The sequence below is a fragment of the Homo sapiens genome, chromosome 2 (assembly GCF_000001405.40).
Source record: "Homo sapiens chromosome 2, GRCh38.p14 Primary Assembly".
NCBI lineage: Eukaryota > Metazoa > Chordata > Mammalia > Primates > Hominidae > Homo > Homo sapiens.
In genome coordinates this window covers 237,281,853-237,299,253 of record NC_000002.12, presented here as the reverse complement: position 1 = coordinate 237,299,253, position 17,401 = coordinate 237,281,853, and the positions used below count along the sequence as shown (strand labels likewise).

General features: G+C 42.0%; 1 long non-coding RNA gene across 2 annotated transcripts; it reads left to right on the top strand.

Moving 5' to 3' along the window:
* Window positions 1-400: 400 nt before the first annotated feature.
* LOC105373954 (uncharacterized) lies at window positions 401-9,152 on the top strand. 2 transcript variants are annotated; one of them, XR_924039.3, is made up of 4 exons: window positions 401-1,412; window positions 4,165-4,282; window positions 4,506-4,618; window positions 7,508-9,152. It is a non-coding gene; the product is annotated as an uncharacterized LOC105373954 (long non-coding RNA). The 2 variants fall into 2 exon arrangements; XR_001739961.2 differs by lacking the exon at window positions 401-1,412 and having other exon boundaries at window positions 2,843-4,282.
* The last annotated feature ends 8,249 nt before the right edge of the window (window positions 9,153-17,401 follow it).

Below are 17,401 nucleotides of genomic sequence, written 5' to 3'. Positions count from 1 at the left end.
AACTGGGATTACAGGCACCTGCCACCACACCCCACTAATTTTTTGCACTTTTGGTAAAGACGGGGTTTCACCATGTTGGCCAGGCTGGTCTCGAACTCCTGACCTCAGGTAGGTGATCGACCCGCCTTGGCCTCCCAAAGTGCTGGGATTACAGACATGAGCCACCATGCCCGGAGAGGTGGGTTTTTAAGGAAGTTTTTGCAGCTAGAATTTCCCTGAGGTTTTCACCCAGATGCATGGCATTCCTGAGCCGGTTGAGGATTCTGAAGTGCCATAAAAAGTATTACTGGACCATGCCACGATTGCCTCACATTCGTAGCACTGGAGGGTGTGTGTGTGGTTTTCAAGCACATGTGCATGACCTCAGCTAAACTGATAAACATCATGAGTCAGAGAGGCAGGTAGAGACAGGTTCATTTCATTGACAGGAAACCGAGGCAGCTTGGGGCCATATCCAAAGGCATATGAAGTGGACATGTTGCAGGACTCTATGCTTCTGGTTCTGTATTTCCCCCAGCACTGCGGGACAACATTGTTGTTTGGGGTGAGCTGCCTACTTTGAGATCATTCCTATCACTGCGTTCCACTCAGCGGAGGATCTGAGGAAAATAAGTAGAGCTAAGTCTAGCTGCCACTACCCACCCATCTCACTCCTTTCTTTCACAGCAGTAGCCCTGGGAAATGCAGTGGACACAGCGCGTCTGTTCTTCATCAAGGCACTTGACAAGCTTTTTATGATCTACTTGTGGACACACTGCAGAAATGTGGGGTAGAGGCTGGGATAATTAGGAGGATTACTAACTGGCTAATGGTGTCCAAAGGAATCATTGACTCAGTAACCCAAAGGCTTTTGATCTTGTTTTCTAGGACTCTGTCCCTGATTCTAGACTGTTCAGCATTTTTATTAGTGCCATGAACAGAAATACAGAAGTTGCCATTTCCTCAATTACAAGGGTCATGGTAGTGGGAGGGAGAGTGGAGAGACCTTGATTGAAGCAGTCTGAATCAATAAAAGTACATTTTAATATGCATAAGTATAAATGCTTTTATTTGCATCCACCTACCCCAAATCCCACAAACTACTTCCCAATATAGGACAAAGTAATAGTTATTTAGTGGTAGCATGTTGCAAATATCTTAACAGTTTCAATCCATGTCAAATCAGTTAAATCTGAAATTAACTTGCACTATGATGCACCCACTGAGAAGCTAGTGTGATCTCACACGAGTTTATACAAATATGGTACTTAAGGGCAGGTTTGATTCGAGCACAACTGGGGAATTTCCACTCTTTAGGAACTGTAGGATGCACAGGGCGGTGTGCTGAGAGTGTGGAGGAAGTGCCAGTCCCTGGCCTGTGAAGATGGCTGAAGGAACAAAGTTTTTCCTCCTGGCAAAGAGAAGATGTGAAGGTGAGAGGTCACTGGTCATTTCCTTCATATTTGTGAAAGGCTTTCCTAGAGAAGCAAGATGATTCTTACCGAAAACCAGGTGGGTAGATGATAGAAAATGAGGTGGCTCTGCAGCACTGGGGGTGGTTCTCCATTCCAGATGCATTTGAGTCCAGACTGTGTAAGCACTGGGGAGGGAAGGCTCCACAGGGGCTGATGACCACATGACTTTGATGTTCACAGGAGAGTTTACTCAGGAAATGCTCCATGGCAGAGATGAAAGTCACGCCAAGCTTTGAAGAATGAGGCTTGGATGCAGGGATGCTTGAAGTGTCTCTAGAAGTCATTCAAGCGGCAGAAAAAGCAGCCTGGTAATGAGTTGAGAGGCAGGAGAATGTGAGGGCTATGCATATGAATATTCTAGTTAAAATTGTATTTGAATCCAAACTCTGCCACTGGCTAACTTGGCAACCTTGGGGCTGTAACTAGAATAATGTCCCCATGAAGACATCCGCATGCGGATCCCTGGAATCTGTGAATATGGTACATTACATAGCAAAAAGGAATTGAGGTTTAATGAAATTAAATTTGCTAAACAGCAGAGAGATTTTTCTTGGATTATCTGGCAGGCCCCATGTAATAACATGGGCCCTTAAAGGTGGGAGAGGAGACAGATGAGAACAAGAGGGGCTCAGGGAGCAAGGTGTGAGGCTCAGAGAGAAGCAAACCCAGAGAGAGGCTCTGTTGCTGGCTCTGAAGGTGGAGGAAGGGGCAGTGAGGGAAGGAATGTGTCAGCCTCTAGAAGGAAAAGACACGGAGGAAACTCTCTCCTAGAGCTTCCAGGAAGAAGAGCAGTCCTGCTCCACCCTGATCCCCACTCATTGAGGCCATTCCAGACTTCTGACTTCCAAAACTGTAAAGTAGTAAATCTGTGCTATTTTAAGCACTAAGTTTGTGAAATTTGTTAACCGTCAAGAAAAAAAAAAAAAACTAATGCATTTGGGTTAGTTTGACCTTTGTGAGTCAGTTTTTACATGTGTAAAGTAGAGATAGAAATAATATCTACTTCCCAGGATTCTTGCAAGTAAAGTAACTAATACCCTATTTGACATATTATATATATTCAGTAAAAAGATAGTCATCATTATTTCTATCAAGACAGTTTTATTTGTGAGGTTCCCCTCAGCATCATTTAGCTGCCATAAAAAAACTGCAACAGCAATTAACATATTCCTCCCCCACCTTGTGGGACCTCCTAATACTTTGCTTTCTTTCCTTGAATAAGGAAACGTCACCACTAGGATAGAGATCCACAGCTACCTGACTCCTTCATTCCAATTTCTGGGGAAACACTGACTGGCCCAGCTGCCCAGTGTGGGTCAAATCCCAACTCACCCTAACCAGATTACTGCATGGATAACAGGAAAGGACAATCCTAGAGAAGTGATGCTGGTCAAGCTGTCTGGTCTAGTCTAGAGTCCACTGCTGGGCTGCCTAGTACACACATAGGTGTACACACTCACACACACACACACTCATGCACATATAGACAGACACACACACACACACACCAGTCATTGCATCTGGAGGTAATATCACGGAAACACACACACACACCAATCATTGCATCTGGAGGTAATATCACGGAGCGGCTGCAGCTGTCTACGTACAGGATGGTATATAGTACCAAAATGTAAAAACCAAAATGGTAAAAACCATTTCTCCCCAGACACAGTCTTGATACAGTCCAGATGTAGCTCCTTACAGCCTGCAACCTGGGCATAACTGTCCATCACATCTGGTGTGAACTGGTAGAGAAAAGCAAGGTGGAAATGTTACCCGCACTGTACATCGGTCGAAGGTCCCGAGCACAGGCTGTTTTCTTCTGGACAGAAAAAGTGACACACGCGTCCTTGTTGACATGTTGCCCTGGATGTGAACTGAACTCCTTAATAAGTCTGTCTGGTGGGCACAGCTTCTGCCTGATTGAATGACTTCTGTGTTCCAGTGTGCTTCTGGGCCAGGCTTAAGAGAGAAAAAGAAGTGTTTTCATGTGATGTGTATGTATTTGTGCGCTACTCATCTTGGAGAGTGATGGAAAAATCTCAAGACCCTCTTAGCTAAGCTTGGGAGTTTTCTGGTGACATAACTACCTTTAATATTACTAAAATTCCTTTCTCTTCTATGTGTGAAGAATACGTTTATAAGTTTTCAATGCCAGAATTGTTGGATAAGTATGATTTTTATTCACCATGACCCACTAAAGTAAACTGTCCAGAGCTTTGGGGCATTTTAATTTCTTTAGTTCTAAATTTAATAATCTGCAGGAGGTTTGTGTGGTGAAAAATAAACAGAAGTGAGAGTATAGTTGAATCTGTCCCTAACGTGCCCTGGACTGTAGTCCCAGCCTTCTCAGGCTACATTCAAATCAAATTTTCTTATGTCCATTTTTTCAACTTCATTTAACATGAACTTATTGAATGTCTACTACGTTTCAGGCATTGCTGTAGGCATTGTAAATATAACAAAACAGACAAGTTTCTGCTTTCAAGTAGCTTACCTTTTAGTGGAAGGACACTGAATAGAAAGGGCAAGCTGTTCAGCAAAATCCAGTCTCCTCTACTTTGGACACACACCAAAACTCTATTTCCCAATATTTCTTAAAGTTATGTATGATCAAATTACCAAGCCCTTTCCAACCCAACGAGCAAAAGTGATGTGTTCCGGACCTGGACAATGAACACCTCCATGTATATCCCTTCATGACTATTAGCTTCTGCTTACTGGATTCAGAAATGATGGAGCCACAGAATGGAAGGAGTGTGGATCCCTGAATGACTGCATGGAGGAGAACCAACCTGCCAACTTCAGTATCTACCTAGGACTACTAGGTGAGCAGGAAACAAAGCTTACTGTATTGAGACATTACATGCTTGAATCTATTTGGTATAACATCAGTTTAACCTACTCTGAATAATATACAGAGATGGGCAAAGAAATATATTCTGTGTTGAGTGGTGATAAGTCTAGGCATAAAAATATAGCAGAGCAGGAGAAGTGAGAGTAATGTGCATGTTCATGTGTGTTTGTGTTTTATAAATGGTGCTGAGGAAGACCTTCCTGGAAATAAATCATTTGAACAGACAATTGAAGGAAGCGAAGATATGAGTCAGCCCTGAAAATCTTAGGCAGAGGAGAGAGGTGCTGAAGATGAAGGAAGAACCCAGGTAGGAGCCCCACAAACACTAAGGCTCTGAGATGGCTGTGTTTGATTGGGGCCCAGTGGAGCTATTAATAGCATCCTGAATTCCTCTGACTCTTCCTAGAGAGCCTTATTCTAATGACAAGGATCTCTTATTTTACTTGTTGGTACTTCAACTTTAGCTTTAGAAATGGTTAAGTTTTGCAAATGGCCTATTTATCTGAAACTTAGCAGTATTATATTGCTGGAAATCAGGAGAAAGGACTTCCCTTAATAAATAATATACTTGCCCTGCTGTTATTTCTCTCCCCCTCTCTCTTTTTCTTTCATTTTTGCTTCCAGGCAGTAACCTTGGATCAAAGCTCGTATTCTCATTTAGATTCTTACTAAAGGCAGTAAGAGGCAGTCAACACATCTTGATTCTATGACATTTGCCAAAAAATATTCTAAAGCATTGGCCTCAGTAGGCTGTTGGTTTAACAGGAATTACCAGCTTTCTTCCCAGGATGGAGGAATCTTGAGAACTATCATCACCCTCCTCCCTGCAAATTCAGCCAATTCCATATGTTTGGGTCAGCTACTTGCAATTAATTTCTGATTTTTCTTAGTTATAAATATTTTGCCTACAAGTAATAGAAACCACTAAGCAATAGGGGAATGTTTTTGACAATTACTCAGTTAGCTTATGAATTTAAACATGAGATGCATAGACTAAACACCATCTGGGGCTGTTTTCCTGTATAAATAGATAAATAGGTAAGTTTCTGTTTATTCTTCATGCACTTGCTTCACCGTGATATATGCATCCAACTGGGACACAGTAAATGTGGCATAAATTATATTAAGGAAATCAAATCAATGAAAAGGATATTTGCAAACTAAGAGAAAGACTGAGGAAAGGAAGAGCAGGGTAGCAAGAACAACCAAGTTTTGAGACATGCGCTGGAGATAAGGAGGGGGTAACATTGATGTCAATGATATATAAAAAACGCACAAAACCTTTTGCATCACTGTTTTCACACTGCATGGGATAATTGTTGAGAATATTGCATACAAGTTAATGCCACTGGCTTTGGGGTCCAATTGGCTAGTGTTCTAGTGCCAGATTTGCCACTTACGGGCTGTGCATCACTGAGCAAATCACTTCACTTCATAGGGTTGTTGTAAGGATTCAAAATGCTTTAAAAATACATGCCAAGGACTAGAATTTAGTAAGCTTCTGATAAGCAATATATTTTAATTACAATATAGTTCAGAATCAATATCTCTATCCAATTATCCCTCATTGAATATCTGTCTTTTAACTGTCACTGTTCCTAAAGGCTTTGTATTCTCTTACTTCAACTCTAGGGAGTGGAGAGTTGATGAGGCTAGGAAGTAAGCTTGATATTTCCCTTTTTCTGAGCCTTAGTTTCATTTCTGTGAACCCACAGTGGGATTCACCAGCTCCCACGAATATTCCATTCATATTGCAGGTAGTGGGTCTGGACAATGAATTCTGGCCAAGGACAAAAGATGAGTGTTCTTTCTTGTTGAGTTCATAAAAAGCCATGCTATTTTCTTCAGTCTCTCTATGCAGGCCCCATGTTTTTGATGGTTTAGGTACAAAACTGTAGAGGCATAATCACCTTGATCCTTGAGTGACTGTGTGGAGTAGAGGCCTCTGCTGTCCTATATAGGACTGGTAATGTGAGTGAAAAAATAAATTTGGCTGGATTAACCTACTGAGATTTTGGAGTTGTTGGTTACTGCAGCACAACCTAGCCCCCTTTCCCAACCCACCCCAATAACATACCAGTTGGAAAATGATGGTGACAGATCAGCTGATCCTTCACATTCAAAGAAACTGCATTTCTACAAAATGCTGTAATTGACAAGAATGTCATTCCAACCCTTATGTACTACCACTGCAGTGTCACTCTTTGCAGGAAGATAAATTACTTAATGTGTCTCTTTTCTCCCAGCAGCTGGCATGGTGTTTATCACTGAATAAACATGGAAAATGGTCACTGAGTATTCTTTATATTAATTATTTCCCAAAAATATGACTCAGAAATTAGAACAGCACTCAGTGCCCTTTATCTTATTTTATGTTTCCATTTTCATCGTTAAATTCCTCTGAAGTCATTGGCATTATGACCATAGGAAAAATATCTGATTTACTCCGTTCTTAGGTAAAAACATTTTGACATTCATTTTATTTCTCTTATAAATCATTTAAGAGAAATCTATGCAAGTCACATGCTTCTGTGAAAAATGGAAAAATTAAAGTAGTTTTTGGAAACCTTAATGACACATAGAGGAATTTTTAAACTTCTTGGGAGTTTACTGTAAACACACGCAGTACAGCACTAAAACACATTGGAAGTACTAAGGAAAGAGACAGTTTGGAAATATTTGAAAATAGCTGTTACAGCTTCATTTGCTTAACTTTTGGAGCCTCAGTTTCCCCATCTGTGAAATGGAAATGATTTTACAGTTGAAGAAACGAAGAAGCAGTTGAATCAGCTGCTTGAGAGAGCAGAAGCTCTGGTGCCAGACTGGGTCCTTGTCAGAGGATCGTCATTTACTAGCAGATGGGCACGTTATTAGTAGTTATGTTTTCTGTGCCTCAGTTTCCTCATCTGTAAAATAAGGTTAATAGCACCTATAGTGTAGAGTTGCCGTGAGCATTCAGTTAACATTTCAAGTGTTACCTGGCACATAGCTATGATTATGTGTTAACTCCCTCTACTTCTGCAAAGTTTACTTAAAATATCAAATATCATATGTTCTTACCACAATATGTATGTACTTCCGAATTTCTCGCCACTTTTATTAGAATAAACTCTTATGTTTGACCCAGCTGTACGTTTGATACAGCTCATTTAAATGCCTTATCACAGTGAATTCCTCTCTTGTCTGCTTTTCAAAGATAAAAATGGGGAAAATGATCAACGTAGAAGATGGCAGCCAGACTTGAAACGACACAGAAGGGAAGCAGTTCTTCTGAAAAAGGAGACGTGCTGAGTAAACAGTCCCTGAAGTGCTCCTGGCTGGGCTCCAGATGAGTAATGATTTATGAACGGGAAATCTGGGTCGGCCGGGCTTCAGTCCCGCGGCGCAGGGAGATGGAAACCAGATGCGGAGGCTTCATCCAGAGGCCCAGGAGCGGCAGCAAGGAGGGGGTGAGGGTGCAGAGAGGGACACAGAACCACGAAGGGCACATGTGGCGCGGGGAACACACAGAGAGGGGAGGAGGAGAAGACAGAAAAGAGGAGGGAGAGGAGAGAATCAACCAAGCCGTCACTCTTGGAAATAAAACACCCTTCAGAGTTAACTCAGAAAACGTTTCCTCAGCCAGAAAACCTGGTGCTTCCTCAGAATATACGTTTTGTTTTCATCTACGTTCCCATGGAAACCAGCTAAAAAAGTTCAGACACATTTGTTGACTTCAACTACTTGGAGTACAGAGACCGTGTCTGTGTGTGTGTCTCAATATACACAACGTGTTTCCAAATATGTTTCAATGAAATGCTGGTTCTCTTCCAATTAAATCTCTGCGAGAGTTCAGTTTCCTAAAAGCTAAAAAGAATTGATTTTTAATGCAATTCTGCCAAAGAGAAGAAAATTTAAGTGTGTATTCTTCCTATTGCCAAACTGTCCAATACAAAGCAAATCAGACATCTAGAACAGGGATCAGCAAACTATGGCCAGTGGGCAAATTTTGGCCCACAAACTCTTTCTGTATAGTCCACAGGTTAAGAGTGGGTTATTTATTTATTTATTTTTGGTTGTTGTTGCTTTGCATTTTTTAAAAGTTGTAACAAAAAACGAGAAGATTATAAAACAGGATTGTGTGTGGCCCACAAAGCTGAAAATATTCACTCTCTGGTCCTTTACAGAAAAGTTTGCTAAGCCCCGATCTAGAATATGATGCTTTTGCCAGTGAAGCTGTTGTACATGATAACAGGTCAGCTGGGTAATAATTTCTATAAATGAAACGATTCTTAGAAATATTGATATAGACCCATAGAGTGCTTTGGTGTAAACACTCATTTGATCACTTCACGCTAAGCCACTGAGCTCCGCCCTCGAAGTGGGGAAAGCTGGCGAGTAGCACGCGGGGGTAGACGAGCTCTCCCTGGCCACGCCGAGGGGAAAGCACATGACGTTCTGGGTCTGTGCAGAGCTGCAGCGGCTCCCAAATACAGTGCTGGCACTCATCTCTCAAACCTCGTAAAGGAGCATGAGCAATGGACAGTGAAAAGTCACAGAAGAATGTATCCTGGGCTTTGGAGAGACCCAAAGAATAAGGCACTCATGGAGAAGCAACAGATTGTACCCTGGCTTTGATCAAAGTGACCCTGACCAAATAATGATGAGAATAATAAACAAAAACAATAGCTAATGGTGACTAAAATTTATTGGGTGTTTATGGTGTGCCAGGCATCATGCTGAGCACTTTCCTTGATTTACCTTATTTAATCCCCATAATGACCTTCTGAAAGCGGAGGAACAGACTCAGAGGTAAAACAACTCTTTCAGAGTGAAATAGCTGTTAAGAGGCAGAGCCATGGTCTGAGAACAGATTCTTTTTTTAAATTTTTTTAGAAAAATCTTTTATTAAACTCCCGTAATCTAGAAAAATAGACTTCTTTTTTTAATAATTAATAGACTTTATTCAGAATTCAGCATGTCCTTTTCCCATCTTATCATCAAATGCAGTGTACTACAATATATTTAATCTTTGTCTCTTTATTTAATTCCTATGGCAATTCCCCCCCACACTGTTTTATTTATTTATTTATTGTTTTATTATTATACTTCTTAAGCACTGCCTTGATGGCTTCTTGTTTAGAAAGACTCATGGGGAAGTGTTATCAATATAAATATGCAGGGTACAAATGGAATTGAAAAACAGGTCTTTATGACCCATATTTATCTCCCCTTTACTTTCAAACCCCACAATAATAAAAGTCCATGCACCGAGGTATCACAACATTTCATTCTCGATGTTATTTTCCATAGAGTCTGAACTGTGCGATATGAGGCCGACCTCGGCATTTGGAGCTCTTTGGAGGCCTCGTCTTCCTGGGTACTCTGATTTTGATATTTTCTGGCTTGTTCCTTGGTCCCTAGGTCAGCTGACTCTATAATATATCTTCACTTGATTCAGCTTGGAAATCAAATTGATGTATCAATATGTGCATTTTTCTTCTGAAACGGCTTCAGCATGATCAATGGTTCCTTATCAAATAAGGGTAACAAAGTCCAAACGTGCAGAGGCACCGCAGGGGAGAGTCACACTGTGCTTGAGTTGGGGCAGGTGTGGTCCCTTGGCCACAGCCATGAGACAGCTTGACACGCCAAGCTTTGCTCAAACAAGGAGGACGGGAGTCAGCTGGGGCAGTCAGGAGTCACGCTCTCTCTCTCTCTGAAATTTAGTTTACATGGTTTTTCATAAGGAGTCTCCTATAAATTCTTACCGTTGTGCTTATGTTGGTAATGTGTTGGAGTACTTTCAAGATCTTTGTCTTTGTTTTTAAGAAGTTCATGCATAACGTATTGAGGGGTGTTTTTCTGCCCCTCAGTGTTCATCTGTCTCGTTTCTGGTTCCGCAAGTTTCACAGATCTGTGATCTAACATCTTTCACTGTTTTGATAAATTCTTGTCCACTATCTCTTCAAATATTTCTGTTTCTTCTCTCTCTCTCTTTCCTTTCAGGAATCTCGATTACACTTATGTTTGACTTTTTGCTAATGTCCCATGGCTTTTCATTTCCTGCTCTATTTTTCCCTCTCTTTTATTCTCTTTGTGTTTTATTTTGGTGATTTCCATTGAGTCACCTGTAAGTTCAATGATTCATTGCCTGTGTTGAGTCTAGTGATAAGCCTGATAAAGGCTTTCTAATTTTTAATTTAAATTTTATTTATTTACAATAAATAAATAAATATTTGGGGGTACAAGTGGTTTTTGGTTACATGGATGAATTGCATAGTGGTGAAGTCTGAGCTTTTAACATACCCATCACCCAAATAGTGTACATTGTACCCAACAGGTGACTTTTCATCCCTTGCCTCACTCCCATCCTTTCCCTTCTGAGTCTTCAATGTCCATTTCACCACTCTGCTTGCCTTTGTGTGCCCATAGCTTAGCCCTGCCTTATGAATGAAAGCATGCAGTATTTGGTTTTCTGTTCCTGAGTTAGTTAAGATAATGGCCTCCAGTTGTATTCAAGTTGATGCAAAAGACATTCTTTCATTCTTTTTTATGGTTAAGTAGTATTCCATGGTGCATATATATACCACATTTGTTTTCTTCATAACTATTTTATTTCCAGCATTTCCATTGGATGCTTTTTTATAGTTTCCCTCTCTCTGCTGAAAGTTGTCATCTGCTCATGCATGTTGTCCACCTTTTCCACTAGTCTTTAATATATTAATCACTATTATTTTTAATTTTTTGTCTGATAGTATGGACGTCTGGCTATCTGTGAGTCTGGTTCTATTTCTGCCTCTTGGCAGTGGGTTATTTTTGTCTTGTTTTTTTTTTCTGTCTCATAATTTTTGATCTAATGCCAGACATCATGTATAGAACAGAAAAGTCTGAGGTCAATAGAATTTATTCCTTGAGATGAAAATACTTTTTCTTTTGATAAGCTGTTAGTGTGAAGTTTGAGTCAGTCTTGTCAGGAGTTAACCTACAAACTGATGTTGCTGTTGCTAGGGTTATCACCACCAGCTGTGCACCACCAGCTTCAAATTCTTCTAATGTCCCCCTGTGCTTTGACTGGGTGTTTCTCAATATTCTGCTCTGCTTTTACCTTCTGTGTGAGATTGATCCTGAGATGGGCTCTCTAACTATGGTTTTGGCCCTCTCTAAACTGCAATTGCTTATTTCTCAGTGCTTTCTAGCTTAATGGAGGAGGGGATGGGGGGTTCTCTGTCCTCTGTTGTGCCTCACTCTTAGGCAGACCCTATGTGCTTGGGTCTGGAGGAAGGGTCTCTTTCAGTGATCCTTCCCCTCCTCCTCATGGCAGCCAAGCCACCTTGTACCCTTTTCCAGCAGCCGGCAGCACCAACCAACATTGCTATAGAATCCTGGGCCCAGGACTCTTTTTGTTTGTTTGTTTTTGCAATGGAGTCTCACTCTGTCACCCGGGCTGGAGTGCCATGGCGCAATCTCAGCTCACTGCAACCTCCGCCTCCCAGGTTCAAGAGATTCTCCTGCCTCAGCCTCCTGAGTAGCTGGGATTACAGGCATCTGCCACCACACCCAGCTAATTTTTTGTATTTTTAGTAGAGATGGGGTTTCACCATGTTTGCCAGGCTGATCTTGACCTCCCAACCTCAGGTGATCCACCTGCCTCGGCCTCCCAAAGTGCTTGGATTACAGGCGTGAGCCACCACACCTGGTGTGGACTCTTTCTTGACCTTCCCCCATGGATAGATGAGTTTTCCTCTCACTCTTCCCAAATGTACAATGGGGTTTCACTTATGCCCTGGGGGAGTGACAGGGCTTTCTGCCTTTCCCAAAGGAGCCTGAGGCTTTTGTTCCATATGCTAGACCTTCCTCTGTCCCCACCCAAATCTCATCTTGAATTGTAGTCCCCATGTGTCATGGGAGGGACCCAGTGGGAAGTGATTGGATCATAGATTGGTTTCCCTCATGCTGTTCTCATGATAGTGAGTGAGTTCTTATGAGATCTGATAGTTTTATAAGTGTCTAGCATTTTCCCTGCTCTTACTCACTCTCTCTCCTGCTGCCTTGTGAAGAAGGTGCGCCTGCTTCACTTTCCACCATGATTGTAAGTTTCCTGAGGCCTCCCAAGCCATGCAGAACGGTGAGTCAATTAAACCTTTTTTCTTTATAAATTACCCAGTCTCAGGTATTTCTTTATAGCAGCGTGAGAACAGACTAATATAGTCCTGTACTATCCATGAAGCTCTCTCTCTGATCTTCAACCCCACCCCCAACCCACTAATAAGCACCAGATGAGGGTCCATGGAGAAGAGTTCTCAAGTGGGTGCAACCTCCCTTTGTATCTGGGAATCCAGGTACTGCCATGCTAGCCAACACTAGGCCCTCAGAAGGTTATTACAAAATTTAGCTTAATTTCTCTCACCTACTTGTATGGTGTCTGGAATGTCTTTCTCCTGTGTTCGCATTATCTCTCGTGAGGATTTATAGCAAGAGAACCTCTCATTCATTGCTGGTGGGAATACAAAATGGCACAGCTACATTGAAGACAGTTGGTCAGTTTCCTAAAAAAATGAAACATGGGTGCCATATTGTACCAGTCAGGGTTCTCCAGAGGGACAGAACCAACAGGATATATGTATATATAAAAGGGAGTTTATTAGGGAGAACTGTCTCGCACGGTCACAAGGTTAAGTTCCACGATAGGCCATCAGCAAGCTGGGGATAGAGAGAAGCCAGTAGTGGCTCAGTCCAAGTCTGAAAGTGTCAAAACCAGGGAAGCCAACAGTGCAGCCTTCAGTCTAAAGCCAAAGGCTCAAGAGTTCTCGGAAAGCTGCTGGTGCAAGTCCCAGAGTCCAAAGGCTGAAAAACTTGGAGTCTGATGTCCAAGAGCAGGAGGAATGGAAGCAAGAGTCCAACACTGGAAGAAGAAGACGACCCAGGACTCAGCACCCCACTTATCCCACCTTTTTCCACCAGCTTCGTTCTAGCTGTGCTGGCAGCAGATTGAATGGTGCCCACCCACATTGAGGGTGGGTCTTCCTTTCCTAGTCCACCGATTCACATGCCAATCTTCTCTGGCAACAACCTCACAGACACTCCTAGAAATAATTCTTTACCAGCCATTTAGGCATCCTGCAATCCAATTCAGCTGACGCCTAATATTAACCATCACACTTATGATTGCATAATGGGCTCCTTGTTTTTTACCCAAAGGAGTTAAAAACTTATGACCACACAAAAACCTACATGCAAATGTTTATAGCAGCTTTATTCAAAATTGCCAAAATTTAGAACCCACCAAGATGTCCTTCAGTAGGTGAGTGGATAAATAAATGCAGTATATCTACACAAAGGAATATTAGTCAGCAATAAAAATAAATTCGTTTTCAAGCCATTGAAAAGACATGGAGGGAACTTAAATGTATATTACTATGCATTGTAAGATTGAAAGAAGCCAATCTGAAAAGGCTAAATGTTACATAATTTCAACTATATGTCGGTCTGGAAATAGCAGAACCATAGAGACAGGAACAAGACCAGTGGTTGCCAAGGGTTAGGGGGATGGAGGGATGGATAAGTGGCGCACAGAGAACATTTAGAGCAGTAAGACTACTCTCTGTATGACACTGTAGTGGTGGATACATGTCCTTATACATTTGTCTAAATCCATAGAATGCACAACACCAAGAGTGAACCCTAAAGTAAACTATGGACTCCAGATGATAATGATGTATCCATCTAGTTCATCAATTGTAATACATATACTTTCTGTTAGAGGATGTTGATAATGAGGAGGACTATGTGGAGAAAGGAGGTATATGACAAATCTCCATATCTTCTGTTCCATTTTGCTGTGAACCTAAAACTAATATAAAAAAGTCAATAAAAAAGGATTGAGAGCAACCTAGAATGTCTGGAGTGGAGAGAGTGGTGGTGGGAGCTGATGGAGAAAGCTGGGCCTGGGGGTGAACTTATGTACCATACTGAGAATTTTGGCCTCTATCCTGAGAGTGGAGTAGAACCCACTGAGATTCCATGTTGGAAAGTGACATGGATTGATTTGCATTTCATAAAGATGATTATGGATGTGATGGGTAGAATGGATTGACAAGGGGACAAACATAGCTGCATGGGGACCAGTGAGGAGGCAATCAGAGAAGTTTCACAGCACAGACAATTATGAGTATAGGGGAGAGAATGTGCAATATTGAAGAAATTCATAAAAGTGATGCTATATTGGACACGGAGAGAAAAGTCACAGATACCTTCAGATTTGAGTCTTGAGCAAGAGGCTGTATGATGATTGCATTCACCAACATGGTGCCTCAGGAGAGAAGCAGGGTTTCTCTGGCAACTGGAGTGGAAGATGAGCTCATGCTTTAAGCACATTGAGTTTGAGGTACCACTTAGTTACCTATGTGGAGCTGTCAATAAGATAGTGGGATTTTGTGAGTCTGGCTCTCAGAAAGAGGTGTGGACTAGAGATGGAGATTTTAGGATATTCAGTTCATAGATGGTCTCTAAAGTCATGACACAGATGGGATTGCACAGGCAGAGTTTAGTGTGAAGAACAGGATGAGGTGGTCCTCAGGGACCACATTTAGGGTTAGGAGAGGTGGAGGTGGAAAAGGAGACAGGGGCTATCGAGGAGCTGAGAAGACAATGTTGGGAGTGTGTGTCCTGCAAGCTGAGGTGTCCTGAGAGAGCAGACAGGGGCTCTGATAACCTGTCTTGGGGGTGGGGAGAAGAAATCAGCTTAAAGGGAATGAGGGAGTTGCACCAACGAAGAAGCATGACCGAGGCAGGGGCAATAGCAGGTATGACGCAAAGACATAAGAATGAGCAGGGATTGATACTGGCCATTGCAGATTAGTAAGAACCATGGGAGAGTAGGGTGCCGCATGAGGAGAGGCAAGAGTTGAGGCTACAAAAGAGGGGTGCAGGGCAGCTCCTAAACAGCTCTCTGCTCTATTTTAGTTAAGTGTGGATTCTGCTGAAATCTGCTGTGCTACGTTTGCGTAGGGACACAGCGGATCCCATTTGCAGGGACAGGAATTGCAGAGATATTTAAGAAACAGCACTGACAGGAATTACAGTTAGATATCTAATACCTTAAAAAGTTTAAAATTTTAAATTTCCATCAGGAAAGCATTACTCTTAGAGAAATAGATTATTAAAACTCATTGGTGATAGTCCAGATATGATTCATCAAAGTGGAAATGTCATTCCTTTAAAGATGTGAGTCATAGACATTGTTATAAGTTGGTGACACTGCAGCTGTTTTTGGAAACCACCATGTGTCTATATCCATTTTATGCATTTCACATACTACAGTATATCCAAAATTATTGGACGTTTTTCCTCAGCCACTGGGCACACACTACCTTATCTGTCATAATACCATTAGAAGTGGGTTGTCATTGAATACAAATGCCTTCGTGATATGAAAATTTACTAAAAAAAAATTATCTTTCCAAATGGAAAACACCAATCAGAATTACAAAAAAAAGAAAAAAAGAAAAAAGTACAAGCCATCAATGCTTCTAGATGGGTCATCTTAATACAGCCCAATTCCATTTCAAAAATGTAAATATCCAGCCTGATTGCACAAGTAGCTCACTACTTGGGTATAATGAAGTTGTTCCCACTGCATGGTGGAATTTGCTAAGGCCGTAGAGCAAAAATGTGATCACTTGCCAGCATGTGCTACAATTAATTATGTGAAATTTCCTGATATAAGAGCAAACACTATTGGATTACTTCAAACACTAAACAGGATCACTTTTAGGTTGAGCAAAAAAAAAGTGAAATGAGAATGGTGGGGCGTTGGTTGTGATTGTCAATCTCATCTCAGCCTGGATTGTTAGAAAAGGGCCAGACAGAAAGCTTCTCTTTTCTGAGGTCTTCACCTAGGATCCAGACAGACGGGGGAGGCTTTGGGCTGAAACTAAAAACCTAGGAACACCCAGTCATCATCAGAGGCTCTACCACTTATCCCAACTCTGCTCTGGGGTAGACAGACAGACACTGTCTCCTCCACCTACACAACTCAGTCACAGCTGCAGAGTTAATGCAGTGCTTCCCAAATGAATAAAGCTCTTGGCATTTCTGCTCCTCCATGTAGATGCACATGAGTAAATGGGACATTTCCATCCTTCCCTTCCCCTCCCCTCCCCTCCCTTCCCTTCCCACCCTTCCCCTCACCTCCCCTCCCTTCCTCTCCTCTCTCCTTCCCTTCCTCTTCTCCTTCCCCTTCCCCTTCTCCTTCCCCTTCCCCTCCCCCTTCCCCTTCTCCTTCCCCTTCCCCTCCCCCTTCTCTCCCCTCCCCTCCCTCCCCTCTCCTTCCTTCCTTCTTCCCTTCCTTCCTTGTTTTCTTCCTGCTTCTCTCCCTCCCTCTCCTATCCTTCCTTCTTCTTCCTTCTTCTCTCCTTTCTTTTTTTCCTGCTACAAATATTTGAACATCCTATTTTGTCCCAAATGCTGGGGACACACCAGTAAACAAATGGACAAAAATCCCTATCCTCATGGAATTCGTCTTCTAGTATGGAAGGTAATTTAACATGATTATCAGGCAGATTACATTTGCTTTGAAGTAAAGCCTGAAGACTTGAGTTGTAATCTTTTCCGTAGTCACTTGCTGTAGGATTTAAGTCGTTTCATGTCTCCAAGCCTTAGTTTACAAAATACCTAGGAGGATTAAGTGTTTGTCAGTTACTCAGTGCTCCATAAGTGCTCCATAAGTCAGTGTGATGAAACGTGCAGACATAACTGAAGCTGCAGATCTAGTAAGCTTTATGGCATTTAAACAATGGTTGGATTTGTAAATCCTATAATCCAATATTCTGTGTGTGGGCTCCTTTGTCCTTAAGATGAGACATGATTTCCAAATTGAGGTTGAAGAACTTTGAAATTCATTTCCTGGCATTATGCCCAAACCAGCCTGTCTTTGAGAAATCCTACCATCTAGAAGTGGCTGAGTTTCTGACTAGGTTGTGGTCACTGTGGCCTCCAGTTCTATTCAATTTGCCCTCTTGGGAAATGTGCCAGAGACTCCACCAGAGGCTCATCGCTTCCATCACTGCTGGTGTTCTCAATGCCACAGATCATTTTGGACGCAAAATGA